The sequence below is a fragment of the Homo sapiens genome, chromosome X (assembly GCF_000001405.40).
Source record: "Homo sapiens chromosome X, GRCh38.p14 Primary Assembly".
Lineage (NCBI taxonomy): Eukaryota > Metazoa > Chordata > Mammalia > Primates > Hominidae > Homo > Homo sapiens.
The window spans coordinates 69121458-69144205 of NC_000023.11; the positions used below are offsets into that span (position 1 = coordinate 69121458).

The 22748-nt window shown below is 52.3% G+C and overlaps 1 long non-coding RNA gene across 1 annotated transcript, besides 3 other annotated features; it reads left to right on the top strand.

Moving 5' to 3' along the window:
* Nucleotides 352-861: an enhancer, noted in NCBI's record as "H3K4me1 hESC enhancer chrX:68341652-68342161 (GRCh37/hg19 assembly coordinates)". NCBI's record gives its function as "activates a minimal SCP1, AML or CMV promoter by ChIP-STARR-seq in naive H9 embryonic stem cells {active_cell/tissue: H9 hESC(naive)}" and the evidence as "EXISTENCE:reporter gene assay evidence [ECO:0000049][PMID:30033119]".
* LOC107985646 (uncharacterized) lies at nt 7346-14619 on the top strand. Its single transcript, XR_001755985.2, has 3 exons — nt 7346-7485; nt 8150-8303; nt 14518-14619. It is a non-coding gene; the product is annotated as an uncharacterized LOC107985646 (long non-coding RNA).
* Nucleotides 17713-18635: an enhancer, noted in NCBI's record as "H3K4me1 hESC enhancer chrX:68359013-68359935 (GRCh37/hg19 assembly coordinates)". NCBI's record gives its function as "activates a minimal SCP1, AML or CMV promoter by ChIP-STARR-seq in naive H9 embryonic stem cells {active_cell/tissue: H9 hESC(naive)}" and the evidence as "EXISTENCE:reporter gene assay evidence [ECO:0000049][PMID:30033119]".
* Nucleotides 18636-19557: an enhancer, noted in NCBI's record as "H3K4me1 hESC enhancer chrX:68359936-68360857 (GRCh37/hg19 assembly coordinates)". NCBI's record gives its function as "activates a minimal SCP1, AML or CMV promoter by ChIP-STARR-seq in naive H9 embryonic stem cells {active_cell/tissue: H9 hESC(naive)}" and the evidence as "EXISTENCE:reporter gene assay evidence [ECO:0000049][PMID:30033119]".

Here is a 22748-nt window from a genome sequence, read left to right on the forward strand (position 1 = left end):
CCCCATGCCGAGAAAGCAGGACCCATCCCGTGCAAGCATCCTTCTCACACCCTGCCAAGTGCACTAATCCCCCTGGGGAAGTGATTACCAACAACCATACACAGCCGGAGTTGCTTAATCACTCTTAAGAAATTTCTTTATAATCTGAGTAAATTACTTTAATTACTTGCAACTACCAATTAGTGTTTGAAGGTTTCCCTTCCAGAGAAACAAGCCTCCCCCTCTGGACTTCCAGCTCCCTCCTCCTTGAGGCTGAGGGGTGCTCACCTGGCTGCCCCTCCTACCAGGCGCCAGACTGCCCCCTCCACCGCCCACAGGGCCCAGGCACAGTGGCCCAGCCCCTGGCTCGGCTTTAGGAGGGCTCGGTTTCTCAGTGGTGCTCTGGGCCCTCCTTCCTGACCCCAGGGCCCATGCCGGAGGAGGAGGCTGGAGAGACTGGTGGTTAGCACACCAGCAGGCCCCAGCCGACTCACCTGATGCACCCCCATGGGGCCTGGCTCAGCTCTGATCCTGTTCCAGGCTCTGCTGCCAATGGCCAGAACTTACCCTCTCTGGGCCTCCCTCCTCTCCTGCCATCACCTGCCTCTCCTGGTATGCAGGGAAAATGGCTGCTGCCTCCGAGCTCCTTGCACAGACCGGGCAGAGCGGATGTAGGTGTCTAAAGGCCAAGCAGTCCTCCAAGTCAGGCTGCTGCTAGCTTATGCTGAAACTCCAGAAGAGACATTGACTTCACCCAGCTTCCACCCCCAGCCTAGGGAACCCCCTAGAGACTCCCAGAGAAAAGGCAGTGTGCTGTAAGAGGGGGAAGAGGAACACTGGCTTTGGGTTGGAATCCTGGCTCTGCTTCACCTGCATGCCCTTGCACAAGTCATTTCCCACTCTAAGCCTCAGTTTCCTTATCTGTAAAATGTGGAAGATGACATTGACTTCACACTTTGGTGTGAAGATTAAACCCCCAGCCGCACGGCAGTGTGCCAAGCACAGAGAAGACACAGAGTACATGCTAATTCTCAATGTGCTATGGGCTGCGGACACAGAAACAGGACCCTGTTGCTGCCTTTAGGAAGCTTCCAGTCTCGTATGTGGAGAACAATCGCAACAGAAGAAGAATTGTGGTACTCGTCCTTAAAAAGAGACACACAAATTATTGGGGATGGTCAGAAAACAAAAAAGTAGGAAAAGTAGAGTTAGTGAAGGAGATAATTTCATTTGGCATTCAACTCACCACCCAATTCCCGTTTGTCCTTCCCTGTGTTCATTAAGACCCTGGACACTTGGGCAAGAGCGTCTTTGTGTGGCACAGTCACATAGGAAGTCACAAGACCCCCCACAGTCCGCTCCAACTCATTTGGGTGCCTTAGTGCGTGTGCATATGTGTTTGCATGTCTGTGTACACATATGCACATGCATGTATAGGATAAATGTGTATGTGTGTGTGCACATGTTCATGAGAATCTTAGGGGAGAAAAAGAGTGGGTTAAGATGAGGCAAGAGAAGCAGGTGGCAGGGAGAAAGGCTCCCGTCTCCCCTCTGCCAGCTCCTCTCTCCCTCTTCCCAGTGCTGGGTGGCAGCCCCTGTTTACAGAGTTCAAGGAGCTCGACTACCCACCCACTGCCCCACTTCAGGCCCCTCTCTTCCACTCGGCACCCCCTTCCATCCCTGATACTCCCGATTTCTTCCAAGCTGTATTTGTACACACAGTTCCCAGAGCATTTGCCCCTCCCCTGTCCCATTAGATTGGTCCCACAGTTCCGACAACTAGGTGCTATTAATATCCGTTTTAAAGATGGGGAAACTGGGGCACAGAGAAATGATATGACACATCCCCTCCAAAAATTGTGCTCGAAGATAAGCTTCTTAAACCCTAGTCCCTTGGCCTCTATGGGGGATCCCACCAACTCTTTGAGGGGCGGGGTGGGGGATTGAAAAGGAAAGCTGCTTCTTTGTCTGGGGGCCGGGGATCACTTGGGTTCCAGCTCCACATCTTTTCTTCACACTTCAGTTTCACTGCCCCCCACCTTTTCCTCACCCCACAGAGATGAGGGAACTGGCAGGCTCCTGGGCAGGCGGTAGGGCTGTGGGGGTTAATTAACTGTTTCCCAAAAAGCTTTGAAGATGAAGGCTCCTGCAGGAGGCAGGCAGTGCAGGCCAGCTTGCAGGCAGGCAGAACTGCCAATGAGTTGGGGCGCCAGGTTGTTACTAAGGAAAAATTCCCAGCTTCTGGCCTCCACTCCACCCACCCCCTGCCAGGTGCTCTGTACTCCGCAAGCTCTCGAGACTCCGTGACCTATCATGCCTGGGCGAGCTTTTTGAAGGTATGCAGCCCTGGTGGAGGGGGAGATGAGACCCTGGTCTCTGGTGGGCAAATGAGGAGGGAGGGGAACGACCCGAGGCTGGAGGTAATGCAGGTCCCAGGGCCATGCAGAAGGGAAGCTGGAGGTGCTGCCCAAACATCCTGCCTGCGAGCCTGTCCCGGCTCGATTTGGCTCTGGCCTTAGCTCAACCACGCCAGGTTAGCCCGGCACACTCCTCTGGCATGTGCCTATGTGTGGGTGTGATCCAGAGGGGCAGAAAGATGGCTCCTGATTCAGTGCCTTGGGTCCTCAGAAGGCCAGAATTGGGATCCGAGATGTTTTTCCCCAGGAAAACCAGGTGAAAAGTAAACTTGTTCCCACCTACAAGCCAGAAAGTTTCCACAACTGCTTCTTTATTCTCTTTCTTGCTTCCCTCCCTCTCTCCTGGTGCTGCAGATATAGAAATGGCAATACCCTGACCCTAGACTGCTGGAACTTACAGTCTAGTTGGAGCGACCAAGTTGTTAGATAAAATACAACTATTTAACCCAGCATTCCTCTTCTATGAGCCATCCTACACTCATGCACGGGAAATTGTACACAACCTAAATGGCCATCATTAGGGGGCTGGTTTTAAAAGCTATTCCATACTATGGAATACAATGCAGTTGGTCAAAAGAATAAGATAGATCAATGCATGCAGAATGGAAAGATGCCCCACACATACGTTAAGTTTATTTTTATTTTATTTTATTTTGAGACAGAATTTCATTATGTTGCTCAGACTGGATTCGAACTCCTAGGTTCAAGTGATCCTCCTGCCTCAGCCTCCTGAGTACTGGGACTATAGGCGCGCACCACCACGCCTGGCTACCATTAAGTTTAAAAAGCTGTAAAACATTGGGTGCACGTGAAGTCAGATCCCACTTGTGAAAAGTGAAACCAGGCTGGGCACAGTGGCTAACGCCTGTAATCCCAGCACTTTGGGAGGCCAAGGCGGGCGGATCACCTGAGGTCAGGAGTTTGATACCAGCCTGGCCAACATGGCGAAACCCCGTCTCTACTAAAAATACAAGAATTAGCCGGGCGTGGTGGCAGGTGCCTGTAATCCCAGCTACTCAGGAGGCTGAGGCAGGAGAATTGCTTGGACCTGGGAGGCGGAGGTTGCAGTGAGCCAAGATTGTGCCATTGCACTCCAGCCTGGGTGACAGCAAGACTGCTTCTCAAAAAAAAAAAAAGAAACCAATTCTACATGTCTATCTGTACTTATTCATGTATGTGTGCAGATATACAGAACAAAGTGCCGGCTTTCCCTCGCCCCTCCTGGACTGCTCCACTAGCCCTGGCCTGGCCTGCAGGTGGGGCCTGACACTTCTTCACTGATCTTCTTCATCCCACAGTGGCACAACTACAAGACAGGAACTAAGAAGAAGTAACTGAATGCCTACTCTAGGCCAGGTCCTTGCTAGGACTGAACATGTGTTTGTCGAGGGTGGCTAAGTCTCAGCTGAGGCCGACCAGCACCACCAGACGTCATCCCGTTGTGACTTCTACCTCCACACCAGATGGCTTCTTCCCACACCAGTCAAACCAGGGTCTCCCTGATCTCTGGCAATGTATGTCTCCCTTTCTCCAGGTCTGGGGCCAGGGGTCAGCAAATGGGTGTGTGCTCTGTGGCCCATGCTAAACCCTGGGAGGGGTGATGGGGAGCCAGAGGAAAGAGTATCGCCCCCACAGTCTGTGGGGGGTGGTGAAAGAGGTAGGGTTCTGATGGCACATATAGAAACCAAACTCCAGTCAACTTGAGCTACAAAGGGATTGGTACCGAGACTCATGGAAAGGGTACTGACAGAACTCATGGGAACCAAAGAGCCAGACTTGAGAGCCACTGGAAGCCAAGGTTCAGGAAACAGGATGTGCAGTGCCTGTCTTGTAACCAGCACTGCCTGGTCAGGATGCTGTCACTGCCACACAGCCCTCATGGCCAATATCCACCTCTCCATTATGTCCCTTGCTCTCATGGCCAGCCCCCTCAACCACCTTAAGTTGAAGCAGTTATCTTAGATTACACCCCAGTAAGACCATAAAATAGGGAGAGGTGATTCCTTCAAAAGAAATCAGGTTGCCAGCCAGGGTGGCTCACGCCTGAAATCACAGCACGTGGGGAGGCCGAGACAGGCAGATTGCTTGAGCCCAGGCGTTCGAGACAAGCCTGGACAACATGGTGAAACCCCATCTCTACAAAAAAAATTTAAAATTATCTGGGCATGGTGGCGAATGCCTGTAGTCCCAGCTACTCAGGAGGTTGAGGTGGGAGGATTGCTTGAGTACCGGAGGTGGAGGTTGCAGTGAGCTGAGATCACACCACTATCACTGCCACTGCACTCCAACCTGGACAACAGAGCCAGACCCTGTCTCAAAAAATTTAAAAAAAAAGAAAAAGAAAAAAAGAAAAGAAATGAGGGGGCAGGGGGACGGGAAATGGGCAGCTTCCAAATGGCAAGTGGCCAGGACAAGGGATGCTAGGACATAGGTATCAGAGCAACCCTAGACCAACAAAGCCTTCTGTGCTGAGGGCGTGGGTAATGGCCATCCAGGCATGTGGGGGAGACGTGTTGAGCCTCCTCGAGGCTGGCCTCGCACCAGGCTCTTTCCACGTATCGTGCCCTTCATCCTCACCTCAGCCCTGAGACACAGGCAGTATCATCTCCAAATACAGATGGGGACCTGAAGGCTCGGAGGCAGGAAATGACTTTTCCGATGTCATCACCTACCAACAGGCTGAATTGGGACTCGAACCCAGGATTCTGGCTGTTCTCTCCCCCTGCCCCCCACCCACAGTGTGGGGAAGCCACTGCACTGCTGTTTGAGCAGCTCCTCAGGATCGCAGCAGGGCCTTCAGGACTCTGTTAGCGGCACTCTCTTGGGCTCTCTTCTCCCTCTCCCTCCTTTCCTCATTCCCACCTCTAGAGCTCAATCTATCTAATCTAAACAAATCTCTGAGCTTGATTTAGAAAGGGTGCTTGAGGCCTTTGGTGCCAGGCGGCCTCGTGGGCAGAGGCAGGGCGAGCTGTGGTCACATTCCCTGGAGGCTTTCCTGCCAGCTCTCTGCAAGGCTGGCCCAGATCTGTTGGCTATGGGCAGGGCCTGAGAAAGAGCCTCAGTCCAGGAGGGGACAGAGCAAGGACTTCCTATTTCTCTGCTGCCTCCTACCCACTCTAGCAGCACTGAGGCAGGCATGAGGCTGCGTGGAAAGCAGGGGGAGTGCAAGATGGCTACAGAAGGCAACCCAGGCTATCCAAGGGAGAAGGGGAGGATTCTTCTGGCTGGAGGGTGGCCTCAGGGGTTCTCCTGCTATCCTACCCCTCCTCTGAGCTGACTACCCAATCAACCACGTTGGTGGCTGGCTCTCCTACCCTCCCTCCCCTCTCCACTGCCAGGGCACAACTATCAGGACTCAAGCCCTTTCCAGGCACTTAGACTACCTCATGGGCTCCTGGCTTCTCACTCACACTAGGTGAGTTGCCCTCTTAGAGAGATGAGTCTTGGGGGACTCTGGATGGGTCTGTTCAGGACCTCAGGCAGGTCTAGGCCACTGGCTTGGAGGCCTACACTCTGCAGCCATGGCTGGCTCAGGGGGATTAGCAATTATCTGAACTCACACTTAGAAATCCTTGACCTGTTCCCCTTGGTCCATCAGCTATACGGCAAAATTAAGGACTGCAGCCTGGAGAAAAAAGTTCCTTCCCACTGTTGCTTGACTGAGCTGCCATGGGCAATGCCAGGAGGTGCATGGGTGTCGGTGAATAGGACAGAGAGACCTGCAGAGTGCAATTCCAACCCTGCCACTATTCGCTGTGTAACCTTGGGTAAGGCCCTCCCCTCTCTAGCTTTCCATTACAACCCCTAGGTCACAGAATTGCTGGAGGCTCAAATGAGTCAATGGTTATAAACAAACTTTGTAACACAAATAATTTATTGAGTGCTCACTAACTGCTGGGCACTATTCTAAGCACTTTCTAGTATTAACTCATTTAAGTCTCACGGCAACCCTGTGACCTAGGGACTTATGGTTGTCACAATTATACAGGGGGATTGGGGGAGACCTAAAGCACAAAGAAACTGTGTAACTCACCCTAAGTCACAGAGCTACTAAGTAGTGAACCAAAAGTTAAGTTCAGGAGACTTGGCTCCAAACATTTCCCCTTATTTCCCCTTAAACACTATGCTACACAGACAGTCACTAACTTATAATGGTTCGACTTAGAATTTTTTGACTTTACAATGCTGCAAAAGCAATAGGCATTCAGTAGAAACTGTAATTCGAGTACCCATACAACCATTGTTTTTACTTTCGATACAGTATTCAATAAAATACATGAGATATTCAACACTTCATTATAAAATACACTTTGTGTTAGATGACTTTGCCTAACTGTAGGCTAATGTAAGTGTTCTGAGCACGTTTGAGGTAGGCGAGGCTAAGCTAGGATGTTCAGTAGGTGAGGTGTATTAAATGAATGCTCGACTTATGATATTTTCAACTTATGATGGGTTTATGTGAACATACCCAACCTTAAGGTGCATCTGCACTATTAAAGGCTGCACATGCCTCAGTATGATTTTTAAATAACTGCCTCTAACTAAGGCTTGTCGTGGTGTTCTTCAGAGAGGAGGCTCTAAGGGAGAGCAAATGAGGATTTGGAGAGGAAAGAACAAGTGAGTGCCTGTTTTTGAAGCTGGTGGAGGTATGCAGAGGTCAGCTTGTGCCTGCCCTGGCTAGGAGCCTGGGGCCCCTTGGATTTCGGGGAGCCTCTGGGCGGCTCCCGTTCACTCTGGCTGCGGGAGCAGGTCGGTGGGGCAGGAGCAGCGGGTGAGCAGCTAATCAGAAGCAGCGGGTCTGCCCGGGCTGCGCCTTGACCGCTTGACTCGCTCCTACGCAGCAGCGAGCGCCTGCTGAAAGGCCTCTGCTCCACCCCGGAGCTACTGGCCGTGGAGGCTGCGGCGGTGGTGGCGGCGGCGGCGGGGCGAAGATGGAGAGCCCGCGAAGCTCCTCCCCAGGGGCAGGCTGCCCGCCACTTTGCTTTGATAGCCTGGTCCGGGAGGCAAGTCCGCAGTCCCGCAGCTCCTCCGGCGCTGCACGCATTCTTCCCGGCCAAGAAGGAACGCGGCGAGCTAACGGGATCCAGATGTAGGAGTCCTCTGGGCTTGGACCCCAAATACCCTAAATACCAGCCAGGCCACCGGGAGACCTGGGGACGTGCAGGAGGCATGCTGGGGACTCCCGGCCTCATCGAGGGCCTGGACCCCACCCTCAAGCCCCCTCCAGTTGTGCTCCAGGGGCCTGAGGGCAAGATCTGGAGCCTGGGCCCAGGCCTCTCCTCTCTCTTGAGTCTGTGCTTGGTCCTGGTGCTTAGCTGCGAGGCTCCCCAGCTCTTTCCCCATGGGAGATGAGGAGCCTGGTGGGTAGCTCTGAGGCCCATGGAAGAGGTTATGTGCTCCTGTTGGACTCAGAAGCCCTATCCTCTGACACTGCCACCACACTCGGTTCTGTCCCCAGCCTGAGCTGGCCCTCTTTGTCCAGAGGGGACTTTGGGCAGCCATGACGTCCAAGGATCACAAGACTTGAGTGCCAAGTCTTGGGTGCGTGTCACTTCAGTTTTCCAGGGCTCAGTTACCTCATCCCTAGAATGGGAGTATGTGTGGGCAGTTCTGCTATGTGAGGAAAAATAGATCCCAGCCCTGAAAGCTGAACCTGGCACCTGGTGGCTCAGAGGGAAAGGAGGCAACTCTCCAGAGACCTCTGGAGTGGTGCCCCCGCCCCCACTCTTACATGCTTGCTTCTTCTCCCACAGGGCCCGGCCATGCTAAGCAGAAGGAAAAGGACTGGCAATGTGTGTTTGGGTCCCTGCTGCAGGAACTAGAGGCTGGGAGGAAAGTTTGGGCAGGCAAATCTGGATGCATCCTTGGACATATTCCATTAAGAGCGGTGCCACTCAACCTATGGCGGTAAGCTGTGATCCCAGACCAAGAGGCATTACTGAGTATGTGGCAACACAGAGTATTGGATAAATGGTGTGTAATATAATATGATGGACTCTTAAAACTTCCCTCATCCTCAAGCTCTTTTTCAGTCTCCAACAAGCCCAGAGAGCCTGAAATTGCACCATTAGCACTTTACAGCAAGTTATTATTTGCCATTGACACCACAGTGTGAATTAGTTGATTAGCTTGCTGGAGTACCAGGAGTGATGGGGGTGGGGGAGATCATTTCAGAGCCTGGAAGGATAGATCTGGGCCTGACTCAGGTGCAGAGGAAGAGTGCCAGGCCCCCAAGGAGCTGGCACAGGGGGACTGCACCTTCCAGAGCACTGGACTGAGAAACAGAAAACCCACATTCAAGTTCTGCCATTGTCACTGACGAAGTTGTATGCCCACAGTCAGGTCATGCCCCCTTTCTGAGCCTCAGTGTCCTCATCTGTGCAGTAGGTAGAGTGTGCTCTGGATGGGGACAAGGAAGGTAGAGTGGTCTCTAAGTGTTATCTTAAGGAGAACATTCAAAGATTTTAATGTCCCAGCAAAGCTCTCAGCTGGGCCCAGCCCAGGGTCTCCCTATGGTCTTGAGAAAGTGGAGGAAACAAGGTCTTGGGGGTAGAAATTCTGGGCCATAGGAGTGGGGAGTAGGGGGTTCCTGCTTTGTGGGAGACCCAATTCCTGGTCTACACAGACTCAGAAAGGTAGATAAAGAGAGGAGGAAAGAAGAGGGAGTGAGAGGGCTAACTCCAGCCTATCCCCCTCACTGCATTCGCTTTTAAAATAAAACCCATTTATATATAAATGTTGGCCTGATGCCCAGTCTCTGTAGAAAAGCTTTTCTGTATTAAACGCTACAATGAATTAAATTAACCATAATGATTTCTTTGTGAATGGAAACCTCTCTCTCCTCTCTCTCTCTCTCTCTTTCTCTCTCCTTCCCTCTCTCTCTCCCCCTACCCTTTCCCCCCTCCTTTGTGACATGGTTTTGATCAGGTTTTCTCCTCCTTCTTCAACTCCAACACCCCCTACCCTGTCTCCCACCCTCCACCCTTCTACCCCACCACCACCCCTGCCAGCAGCACTGCCCTCCCACCAGTGACTAGTTCTGTGGGCCCTTCCCAGGTTAAACTGATGCCTTCTGGCTTCCAATGGGGAGCAGAAATCAGCCAGCTTAGGGGACTCATGTGCACAAATGGAGCTGAGGACATGCCCTGGGAAAGCATGTGCCCACCGTGACTTCCATGTGAGGTTTTCCAGCTGTACAAGACTTCTCTCAGTCTCACTTCACCTGTAAACTGGAGTGAGTGGTATTGAGGTCAACAAATGAATGCGGGGAAAGTGTAAGGGGGCTATTCCTGTGGGCATGGAATGTGGCTGTGCGCAGGAAAAGAGTAGATGGGAGTCCTTTGTGGGGCATGCCTGAGAACATACCTACCCACAGGGCCATCTCCAAATGTGGGTACCTGGACTCTTGTCCTTGCTCATACATTTAGCCATGTGTGTGTGCATGGCAGGAACATGAGTGCATATGCAGCTTGATCTTCTAGGAACCTCCCCCAGGGCTCTGTGGAGAGAAATCAGACATGGGCTCTGCCTTTGAGGCACTCACAGATGCTGTGCAAGGAGAAATGACCTGAAGAGAGGCTCCGACTTCCAGCTGGGAAGAACCAAGGAAGGCTTCCTGAGAGTGGTAGCTCTTAACCTGGGGGCCAGAAAGGGCAGGCGGAATAACAATAACCTTTCCCACAGACAGAGAGCTTTACACGTCCAAGGCCCTTTTATAGGCATTATGTCATTTCTCCCACACACCAAGCCTATAAAGTATGTGTTATTATCCCCATTTTAGAGATGAGAAGACAGGATTTCAAGCCTCCAATACAAGTTTATTCTACAGCCATAGCCTGGCCCCAGCCCATCACACATTTGATCTCTACCAGGCCAAGCCACCCAACACAGTGACTCCAGTCCTCAAGCTGTGACTCACACAGCTTTCCCCTCCTTTTGTACCATCACCTCACAAGTACATCCTTTCCATACCTCAGTGTCTCCATCTGTACTATGAGCAGTGCCCCCAGAGCCCAACCCACAGCCTTCAAAATTACCAGGCCATTGTATGCCACTGAGTCTCTTCCCAAACTGCATCCTCTGCCTCCTTGTCCACCTTCCAAACACCTGTTTACCTTTCAAGTCTCCCAACACCCCTCAGTACGATGCAGTGGCTGCCTCTTTTGCCTTCCCTCCCTCCCTGCACTCTGAACAATATCCCAGCAGGACACCCAAATAAGACATTTGAATGCTTTGTGGACATGTCTGTGCCTCCCACCAGATGGTGAGCTCGGAGAGGGTGGGAGTGATCTCTGATGCATTTCTGTTTCTCTGGGGCCCAACGCAGAACAAATCACTGAGATGTTTGTGGAAGGGGTGAGGTGTGGGGGGCTGGGGAGAGGGGCAGATGGTCTTTTCAATGCGGAGTCTACCGAGGTATTTGTGGCCTTCATTCAATCAAAAACTGTTAGGATAAATGAACATTTATGATAGTTCTAGGATATATCAATTTTGAGATGGTGAGGGCAAAGCCAGGGGGCTGCCATCCACTGACTGCAAGCTGGAAACAGGAAAGACAAGTATACTAAGGTTGGGGGTAGTGATGTGAGATGGATGACTCCCAGGGCTATGAAGCCTTCCTACTGAGGCTAAAAAGCCTCTGGAAAAATAGGTCCCAACAGCCACAGGGCACAACAGGCAGATGCTGCTGGCCCAAAACAACGAACCCATCACACAAAGGCAGATTTCTTTCTAGAAGGCTGGAATCCTCTAGAGGCTTTGTGGAAAGGGGAGACATGGGAGCCTGATAAAGGGGCAACATCTTGAGTCACACAGGCATGAAGGGCAGGGGCATGGAAGGGAAGTCTGCCCCTGCCCTTTCTGTTTCACTCAGCTGCCCTAAAACTGGTGGGCACTGGCCCAGCCCCAGGGCTTGTAGGGTTGTACCTGGATCCTAAATGCATAGATAGCCATATCTGACAGAGGCCAGAGATGTTAATGAGGCCATTCCCCAGCCTCTATGCCTTTGGAGGTCCCTCGGTAGATGGTGGCCATGGGGGTCACATAGGAGGGAGACCAGGCTATGGGGCTGGCTCAGAAGAGTTTGGCAGGGTCCCAGCAGGCCTGCCCTGGCACAGAGATGTGAACGCACGGCCGTTGCAACTGGTCTAATTGCTGTCTCATCAGCTCTCCTAGGGGCTCATTCCAGAGACAAGCAAAGGGAGGTTTCTGCTGTGAGACTTGAGGGAGCCTGAAGAGAGGTGGAGGGGCCAGCACCTTGAAAGGCACTGACAAACCCCAGCACGCCCAGGGCAGAGACCCAAGTCTGGGGGTATGGCAGGGAGAGGCAGGGAGCAAAATGGCCAGGAGGGAAGGGACTAACTTTCCCGTCGGCTGCTCTTGGCTCCCCCCTTGATCCTGTGTCTCTCCCTAGTTAATGTTCCATATCTCCTTTTCCAGGGTCCTTATTGGGCTGTCCCCACTTCCCCACCTGTCCTCCACACCTCAGACCACTGCTGACAGCTTCCCAGCTTCCCATCCCTACTTCAGCTGTCACCCAGGACCTCAAAAACCTAATTACAAGAATCAGCGGACTTAGCTCGTGGAACCTCTCAGTCACATTTGATATTTGTGACTACTTCCTGCTATGTGACAATTGCGACTCCCTAATCCTCTACTGTCTACTCAGACATGGCTTTCCTAGTTCTCCTCCGGCTTCTTTGACCATTCTTTCTCAGTCTCTTTCCCAGGCCCCTATTCTCCAGTATGCCCCTTAAATGTCGGGTCACCTCCCCTACGGATGCTCTCCCTGGCTCTCTCAGCCCCTCCTGCGGCTTCCACCACCTCCTCTCAGCAAGTAAATTCCATGTAACCTCAGCCTGGGCTACTCCCCCAAGCATCAGCTAGTACAGACATTTACCCAGTGGTCATCATCAAAGACACTTCAAACCCACCTTGCCCCAAACAGAATTTATACTCCCAGACCACACCTCATTGCTCCAGACCCACACCACACTTCATTTCAGCTTTATTTCTCCAGGGGTAACCCTACCATCCACCCAAGTTCCTGGCTAGAAACCTTTGCTCCTCCCTCTCCCTTGCTCCTCACATCTAATTAGTTACTGTGACCTGCCAATTTTACCTCCTTAATAGCTCTGGAATCCATCCCAAGCATTCCATCCCTACAAACACGGCCGGAATCCAGGCCTTTATCATTTCTCTGCCACCAGAGTGCGTCCTCCTCGGACCAGCCTCCACACTACAGCCACTTAGACCTTTCCTGCAGACAAATCTGAGCATGTAATTCTCCAATTCAAATCTGCCAGTGACTCCCCACTGCCCCCAGAGGAGAGTCTAAGTTCCTGAGCCTGGCGCACAGGCCCTTGAGATCCGGCCCCTGCTCACCTATCCCACCTCCCAGCCCTGGAAGGGATTGTGCTTTCATGCTATGCTCTATAGTCTCACCTTACTCTTCTGCTGGCAAGCTTCTACTCACACAGGCAGCTTGGTGGAGTGGTTGAGAGTGTGGGCTCAGGGCCCTGACTGCCTAACCAGGAAAGTCACTTATCCTCTCTGGGCCTCAGTTTCCCTATCTGTAAAATGGGGGTGAAGACTGTTTTTACCCCTTAAGGTTGTATTTCTCTTACAAGGGAATAAATTAGATCATGCATGTAAAGCACTTACAACAGTGCCTGACACACATGAAGCACTGTAGAGTGTTAACCACTATTTATTATTCCCCTTTAAGAACCAGTGCGGACAATACCGTATCTGTGAAGCCACACCCTCCTCTGAGACTACGTGCTCCTCTTCTGGCTCCTTCTGGGACTCTAGAGCCCTGGCTAACTTCTATCACAACACTTGAGACCATCTGCCTGCTGCTTGACCTTTCTCCCTTGCTACTTGATATCCAGGACTGAAGTCTACCCATATTTGCATCTCTGGCACCTAGCCCATGACTTTTCATATGGGCCTCAGACTAGCCTGAGATCAGTACTACAATATTATCATGTCCATTCTGCAGATGAAGAAATTGAGGCTCAGAGAGGTAAAGGCAATTTTCCAAGATCGCACAGCTAGAAATTAGCAAAACGTGGGTTTAAACCCAGATCTGCAGGATTCCGAACCCCACGATCTTTCTACTTTATCTAACTCCTTGGGGGAGGGGAGTCTTGAAATCTTGTCCTAGAAGGAAAGATTAAAGAACTAGTGGATGCTCTGCCTAGAGGAGAGACAACTCAGGAGCAAGGACAATCCCCTCCCTTCCCACCCATCTGCCTGAAGCCTACTGGTGCTGGTATGTGTGTTTCAATGTTGATGCCAATGCGTGTGTTGGACACGTGTGCAATGAGGTCATGCCAGAATGCTAGAGATGGAAACCTTCATCTCAGAGCCCCTGCTCACCTTTATATAGTTCTCCAGAGTTTACAAAATGTTTTTGCATCTCATCTCATCATTTGATCAGCCTCACGCACCTGGGATGTGGTAGTCATGCCCCAGACAGGGCAGTGAACTGCCGCAAGTCACCCAGAAGTGGCAGAGCTGGGACTCCAACATTTAGTCAATGCATAAAGTCTGCAGCAAGCCCCTTCCTTCCAGCAGGAAGCCTGAGGATTCTGAGACTGTGGCTGGGGAAGTTATTCCCCCAAAGAAAAGGGATGTGAATGCTGGGTGTGGCCCAACCTAGAGAGAGGACAGGCGAGAGAGAAGGTCTCTCAGACTCAGGGTTCCCATCTGCAAATGGAATAACACCCCCACCCTCACATGGTAGGCGTAAGTCTCAAAAGAGATGATATACGTAAAATGAAACAAATGCCTGGTCTGTCCTAAGCACCCAACAGATACCACACTGCAGCTTAACTCGTGGAAAGCTTGTTTGAAACAGTGGCAAAGGTGTTCAAGGAAAGCCTGCCTGTCAAGAATTAGGCAGAGCTGGGTTTTGAAATGCCATCTCTGCCCCTTACCAACTGTAGGGCCTTAAGAAAGTCACATAAACCCTCCAAGTTTTTGCTGCCTCATTTGTAGGATGGAGACAATGAAGTCTACCTGACAGAATCGTTGTGAACGGCCACATGCGAGTATGTGTGTAAAATGGCTGACACAGGAGCTGGCACTAATAGAGTCATTATTATTGTTCTCACAGATTAGATGGCAGAGCCAGTGATGAAGACTCTGGAGCCATACCACCTGGGTTCTAAGCCCAGCTTTATCTACTAGCTATGTGACCCTCAGCAAGTCACTTCACTTCTCTGTGCCTTGGTTTCTTCAGCACACGTACGGTTGGGATTAAATAAGTGACTACATGTCAAATGCTTCTGGCAAAGGGTACATGCTCTGAGTGTTGGTGAGCATTGTTATTATCAGACAAAGGCCCGAGAGGCATGAAATAGTGTCCCTCTTCTCCCAGGGCATCACATCCCCTTCGTGAACAAAGACATTAGTTGAGGCCAGTTTGAACAGATTAATGGGGTTCCTTTCATTCAGCTTCCTAAAGGCATAAAATGACCCCTCCTGAGCTGGGGCCCTGCTTGTAAGGATAACTGTGTGCAAGCCAGTCTTCAGCCAAGATGCCCTAGGCTGTCCCCCAGATTCAGCCAGAACTGTCCAGAGTCCTTGCAAAGGGCTTTGTTGGGCTCGGAGAGCTCAGAAAACATTACCTGCTATCCCTCTCCCTTCTTGGGAGGCCAGAGGTGGCCGTTAAGGAATAGATCCACCGTTCACACACCTAACTCTGGCCCCCACGGCTGTGGGCGGTAGGGGCTTGGCTACGTGGGCTCAGCAGCAGCAGGAGGACCGGGTAGGGCAGAGTTGGGGGCCAACACCTGGGGTCCAGGCCCAGGCGGTGGAGGGCCGACAATGCTGCCTGAAGTTCCTGTTCTGGCTCCATTTACAACAGGCTTCCTGGAGTCACGGTGCATTTTCCCAGGCGCCTGCTCTCGGCTTTCATAGCTGCCTCCCACCACCCAGACCCAGCTAGGCCGGCCTTAGGGCACCCAGAAGGAAGCAGGAGCCCAAGTACTGGCTCACTTGGGTCAGTGCTTGGGCTGGCTAGCCGCGGCTTTCACATACAACTCCGCAGCCGCGAGGAGATGACCCCTCCCCTCCCCATCCCCAGGCCAGCCCGGCCCCGCCCCGCCCCCAGTGCCGCGTGGAGGGAAATCAGGAGAAGCCGAGGAATTGTTTGTAATTACTGTGTTTTTAAAGGCTTTTCCGTGAGCCTTCAGCCGATTTCGGGGGAGGGCAGCTTGCCAGGGAGCATTGAAATGGAAATCCTGTGTTCTAGCCGGGACCCTCTTGGAAGGAGATTCTTCCCAGAGAAAAGACCAGAAGCCCCGCCCCGTCCCCCGGGTCCCCCGTGCGCGGCTGTGGTCATGGCGGGCTCAGCGATGTGTGGCGGCTTTGTGGAACGGCATTCCTGGCCAACGGGCCTCAGCTCTGCCTCGGGACCCCACCATTCAGCCCCCGCATGAAAGGCCGCTGCCCGGGCCCGCAGCTCCCACTCTCCCCCACCCCAAGGACGCACCCATTCACCTCCTCTCCCCACCGCAACTCCCTTTCCCCCACTTTCCCCAAACGGGAGGCGCTAGCCATGGAACATGGCACATCCAGGGCTACCTCCTCCCAAGTTACCCAGAGGTCATGTGTACAAGCAGCAATTCTAACAACAGTCCCTCAGGCGTGAGCGGCATTTTACAGTTTGCAATGCCTTTGCACATCCACCAGGCCAGTTACTCCTCGTAGCAACCCCGCTAGGAGCTTCTATTATTATCAGTTCTCAAATGGGGCTGGGGGAGGGGAAAGCCTTGCCCAAGGCCCCTGGGCTAGCAACTCAATAGAGCTGGGCCTAACCCAGGGGTCTGCAGGATGTCTCCTTCCACCCCCACCCCAGGCTGCCTCTCCCACACGCTGGCTGACACGCAGGCAGGACTGTTCTTCTGGTGCAATCCCTGGGCCTTGTGGTCTGGGATCATTTCCTGTGGCCTAAAGTACTTATTTGCAAGTTGTAAGGACTGCCCGGTTTCTGGAAGCCTGGCTGAATGCTTCCAGCTGGGAATTTAACCTTCTCAGACCCAGCTGTGGATCTTGAGAGCTCTCTTAGTTCCCAACCATTTTCCTGGAGCCCCCTGAGATAAATTAGTTGTGTCTGGGTGGGGACAATGGAGGAGTACTGGACTGGGATCCAGAAGACCTGGCCTGGGCCTGGCTCTGACACCCACTTGCTCTGTGACCTTGGGCAAGTCCCTTCACCTCTCTGATCGCAAATCAAGGCTTAGAAAGTGTGCTTCCCTGCCTGAGTTTGCAAGCCCAGCCTCTTGTTTTCACTGGAGCATGAATGGAATTGACCTTCCCTTACGCAGCTCCTCCACAGCTCAAGGTCTTGTGAGAACCTTGGAATTGTTGCACATGAGAGCTGATTAGGTAGGCCCCTGAAGATAGTGGAAACCACTTCCCCCATCCTCCAGCATCGGATAGATGGGCAAACTGAGGCACAGGAAAGGGGAGCCAGTTGCTCAAGGTCATCCAGGGAAGCTAATAGTAAGGTCAGGATTAAAATCCAGATCAACAGTGGTGATAACAAAGGTAGTGTGAGAGATTTTAGCTTCCTATAATTTTCCACCACTTCCCCAAGACTTCCTTTTATTCACATTTTACACATTATTATTATATATTATTAATTATAACATTAAAAATAAATGCATAGTTAAAATCCTGTGTAAAATGTTTATAAAGTTATCTTCAGAAAACTTTCCTATTTTTATGTATCTGTAACACACATCCTCTGAGCGTATACAGTGTTTGCTCAGCACTTGCAGCCTCAAGGGACAGCTAACCTCCCACCAGATCTCTGCTGCCCTCAAGGCCCTCCTATAGAGAAACGATGGTGGTGACTCAGTAGATATGGGCCCCTTGCACTCTTCCCAGAAGCCTCCTGTTTGTGTTTGGGAACACACAGCACCCGTGGGTACCTTCTTTTGGCCCAGGACCCCACCCCTCCTTAACTAGGGGAGGCTTCTCAGACAGAGCCCCACCCTCCTCCACTTCTGCCCTTACATTGGTTCTAGGAAGACAAAAGTACAAGGAGGAGAGTCCAAGATTTGCAAAGGAATAAAGAAAGTTTCATGGATGTTTCAGAGGTGACTCTGCCTGCCTTTCCCTCATGTCCTCCTCCTTCATAAAGGAAGCAATTTTTTTTTTTGACACAGTCTCACTCTGTCACCCAGGCTAGCGTGCAATGGCACGATCTCAGCTCACTGCGACCTTCACCTCCCAGGTTCAAGTGATTCTCCTGCCTCATCCTCCCAAGTAGCTGGAGTTACAGGCACCTGCCACCACGCCCGGCTAATTTTTGTATTTTTAGTAGAGACAGGGTTTCACCATGTTGGCCAGGCTGGTCTCGAACTCTTGACCTCAGGTGATCTGCCCACCTCGGCCTCCCGAAGTGCTGTGATTACAGGCGTAAGCCACCGTGCCCAGCCCTAAAGGAAGCATTTCTGAGCCTTCCTTAGTCCATAGAACATCAAGGAACTACAGCATGCTACAGCTCCAATAAGCCCTTAGACATCTCCAATTCAACCCTCTCAGGTTACAGATGAAGAAACTGAGGCCCAGAGAGGGGGCAGGGACTGAGAAACCTAGCATAAGACTGAAGACCAGAAACCTCTTCTGCCTGCACAGCCAATATTTTCCCACTGTCCCCTGTACCCTGCTGCCTCCTGCATACACGTACAGGCTCACCCGTGTGTGTGCTAATGCAGGTTGACGGCTGCTGGGAGGGTCACACATGGAGCCACACACCAGCCCATTCACTCTGACACATACCCCAGCTGGCCGTCCCCAGATACACACTCCACCATCCCCATTCGCCCACTCGCCTGCAACTGCCCATCCCATCCCCTCCTCACCATCCCCTCACACAGGCGCACCCACACTGATTCACAGGCCCCTCCCCGCTGGCTGCCCTGGGTCTCCCTTTGTTGATATGACTACCCACAGCTGCACAGAGGAGGTGCTGGGGCAGAGGAGACAGGGAGGGGTGTGTGGAGCGGGGGTTGGGGGAGTCGTATGAATGTAGACTGGATCCAGAAGGCTCCGGCTGGGAGACATGGGGCTCAGCCACACCTTGGATAGAGCAAAGCAAGGGGAAGACTCTCTAGTGTTTGGAGAGGGAACGGGAGACAAGGGCTAAATAGCCCACGCAAGGTAAGCTCAGGAGTGGAGGGGCTGGAGCCCCATTCTGACAAAGCTGGGATGAGGTCCTGGAAGAGTAGCCTGGCAGCCATCCAGAAAATGTCAGTTCGGGGGCCACTGGACATTAGTCTAGACTGGAGGTAGGCAAGGGATGGAAGCTGGGGGCAGCCTCTCTAGAGCTTGGGGAAGAAATTGCTGAGCTGGAGAGAGGCCAGGCAGAGGTCCCCAAGCAAAGAGCTATGAATTTGATAAGTCTCTTGGGCTTTATGAGATTGGACATTGCCTGACACCCTGTGGGTGGCAATCTATGATTATTAGATAAATGAATGAGTGAGCTCTGTCACGCTTTGCCATTGTCATCACAATGGCCTGGGCCTGAGCCCACCACACAGCCCTGGCTGACTTGGTGTGGCTGGCTGCGTGGGGAAGGTTTCAAAGGACAGTGCCTTGAGAAAAGGAACTGAGTCCTTGGGCACCACTAGTGGGATCGGGAGGCCTGGCACAATGGGGCACAGCAGGTGGGGCCCTGGGTCATCATCAGCCAGAGCTAGCAGGGCCCCTCCTAGTCTTTTTTTTTTTTTTTTTTTTTTTGAGATGGAATCTCGCTCTGTTGCCCAGGCTGGAGTGCAGTGGTGCGATCTCGGCTCACTGCAACCTCTGCCTCACGGGTTCAAGCCATTCTCCTGTCTCAGCCTCCCAAGTAGCTGGGAATAGAGACGCATGCCACCACACCTGGCTAATTTTTGTATTTTTAGTAGAGAAGGGGTTTCACCATATTGGTCAGGCTGGTCTCGAACTGCTGACCTCAGGTGATCCACCCGCCTCAGCCTCCCAAACTGCTGAGGTTACAGGTGTGAGCCACCGTGCCCAGCCCCCTCCTAGTCATCTAATCTAACCTCTCCCCCACTCTCTTAGGTGAGGAACCTGAGACTCAGACTGGGAATGAATTTTCCAAGATCCTGCAGCCCACTGGTGACAGGGCTCAGCCTGGGGCATGCCTTGCTCACCCAGTTCAGGCAGCTTACTGCTTCTCCTAGCTCCCGCCTCTGAGCTGCCTCAATCACAGCACTCTCAGCCGCTGAAGTCTGCAGACAGACGCTTGGGAGCCTTGACCCAGTGGCTTCTGGGCCTGGGAGAGATGTGAAGAAACCAGGAAGGATAGAGAACATATAAAGAAAGAGGAGAGATGAACTTCTCTTGGGGGAGCAGAGGAGGAACTACCGGGTCATAAGTAGAGTTGTGCATCTAGGAGACAGATGTCCATTCCAGCCCTTTTCTGCCACTCTGATGCCACTGAGGTTGAGCCAGTTGTTCCTTACTCTCAAAAAGTCCACAGGGCAAGGTTTGTGTTCCCCATACACCACACTGTGTGCGCCCGCATGCACACACACACTGATGCACATGCACAGAGCTCTAGGGGGGATCTATCCTATTATATGACAGAGGCAATGGTTATAAAGACAGTCTCTGTCCCTCCGTCTCACAGTAGGGCCTAGCATTGCAGTTAGAAGGGAAGTACTGGGTGGCTTGGGGGACAAAGGCCCTTGGATTCCATACACCCCCGATGGATATTTTTCTTGTTAACACACAATGCTGCTTGCATAACTGGAACTGGCTAGACACTGTGAGAAATGTTTAGTACTTGGGAAAAAGCAGGAGGAGGAATAAACAGCCACATAGCCATAGGGTCCCAGGGTCTGCTTTCCCAAAGATGGCCTGCTACCCCTACCCTCCCACATTCCCATGAATGGGGTCCTGGAAAGGAGGCTGCAAGGAGGGAGCAAGCGCTCCTCTCAGCCACATCGAATGGCCCACTAGGTATGCAGGGCTTGTCTCTTTGCACAGAACCCAAGGTTCTCTGTGGCCTCTCATCTTTTTGCCCAGCTGACCTAGCAGGACCCTCTGGTCCTGGATTCTGGTCAGATCCAATCTCTAGGCTGGGTCCAGGCTGGGTGAGCAGCAGTTGGACAACTGTCAGGGCCCAAGCTGAAGGGATGTCTCCACACGCCTAATAAGGTCTATGTAGAAAAACCAGTTGTTTCTATTCAACCCAAGCTTCAGTCTTGGCCCTAATTCCAGCGATAAAGCAATCTCTGAGACGGTAAGCAGTGGCTTAAGGATGTGGGAGAGATGAGGGGGAGATGATCAAAGAAAACTGATTTTATCAGATGATTTGGGAAAACTTCTTTGGCAAAAATGTGGTCAACTCCTTTGTCCCCTCAGCTGGCCCCCTTAGCGTTGTCAAATGCATAGGCCTTATCTTTAAATACAGGGCTAGGATGAAAGGACAAGGGAAAATGGGCCCAGATGCCTCAACCCAAGTCTGAAAGGAGATGCGTATGGGTACGTGTACAAGGCCAATGAGCAAAGATGGCATGATGCCCGTCCTCAGCCACCAGGGCCAACCCATATGAAAACCACCTTCTTGATGCTTCCCTGGAGCGAACAGGCCCAAGGGTAAATGGTCCTCAGAAACTGACATTCTCTCACTGTAGGCTTAGGGGTGGGGAGGGTGAGAAACATTGTATCCCCTGGCCCCTGCTCCTCAGTTCTTTTGCAGACAGAACTTCCTGTTGCCATACCCTTAATCCTTTTCTGGAGGCAAGACTTCCCAGAACTTCATTTTCTTCATGCCCACCTCTGCCTTTCCCATTACCTTTTGGGAGGTGGACTCCTTGAAAAGACGCCATGCTAGGCCCCAAGTATCCCATTCCAATTCTCATTCTGCCTGCCCCCTGGAAAATGGGTAAGGGGGATCTGGTGACTGGAACCCCTGGGTCCTTAAATGAGAAGCATGTTTGTTTATAGCCAGAAGAAATTCATCCCTACTCCCACCCCCTCCCACGTCTGTGTATATGTCTCAGAAGTTCCTGCCACAGCCTCTGCACCAAGCTGGCTGGGGAGGTGGGGTCCCCTCCTCCCACTTCTCCCAACCTTCCCACCCCTGGATCCCCGAGAGGCGGGGCTGAGGCAGCTGCCACATTCAGCGTGGCAGAGCCGCTAGCTCAGTACAAATCAGAAACACATTGGAGGCAATGCAGGCCGGGCGGGGAGCAGACAGGCCAGGGCTGGGGCCCATTAAGGCCGGAGCCCGGCCGCGCTGTTTACCATCTCAGCACAAGGTTTCAGGTTTGCCTCTTGATTGTTTGTTTGTTTCAGAGATGAGAAAGGCCAAGAAGGCAGCTGACAAGGACCATGGGGGGCATGGCGGGGAGGGGGTAAGGAGGCCCTGGCTCTCACAGGTTCTCCCCACCCTGCAACTCACCAAGTGTAGGAGAAGCAAGCTGCCTCTTTTCCCTACCCCCACCCCCAAATTTCAACCAGATGTGCAGTCAGATTCTTCCTCTCTTGGTTAGGGGAAACAAAAGAAATTAAAAATGGGACCCTAGAGACACCACTTTCAAAAGAACCCTAATATAAAGAAGGGATGAAAGGGAGACACAGGAAGGACTTCCGGAGGTGCAGGTGAAATGGGAGAGGTGAGGGGGGTAGCTCACCCCTTCCCCGAAAGACAAGTTCCTAAAGATTCCTATCTGGGGTTGGGTGGTTGCAGGGAGGGTGGTGCTGCCTGGAAGGATGATTGCTCTGGGAGGTCCCACTGAGTCTCAGATGTAAAGGATTCAAAGATGTCCGCAGACATGAATAGAGTCGATACATCTTGATTCAGTGAGTCCTGACTTAATCAGGGCTGGCAGTAGAGATCCTGGAGCCCAGCCCTTCGCCGAGAGACAGAGACTCTGAGGCCCAGGGAGGGGAAGGCATTGCTCAGGATAGCACAGCAGATCAGGTTCTGGACAAAGCCTGCATCAGAGGCCTGCTGGCTCCCGGTCCAGTGCTCTTTTCATTTTGTGCTGCTCCCCTTGCTCAAGTGTCGTGATTTTGTAGGAAAGCAGATTCCGGGCTTCTCTCACCCAGTCTCACCCCAGCTCTAAACTAGGGTCTGGGTGTTCTCTTTCAGGGGATCTCCGCAAAGTCTGAAAGTTCTCTCTGGATTTGCTCTGCAACCGCAGCTGCCTGTGAGGGAGTTTCTACTAGTGCTTGCCTCTTCACCCAGACCAGTCTCAAATACCCACAGTTGATTGTGAACAGCGTTGCCAAATGGTGAGCACTTGAGTTTAGGTGACTGGGCCCATGACCTTGTTTCTGGAAGCAGAGCTTCCAGCCTGCCACTGGCTAGTCCAACCC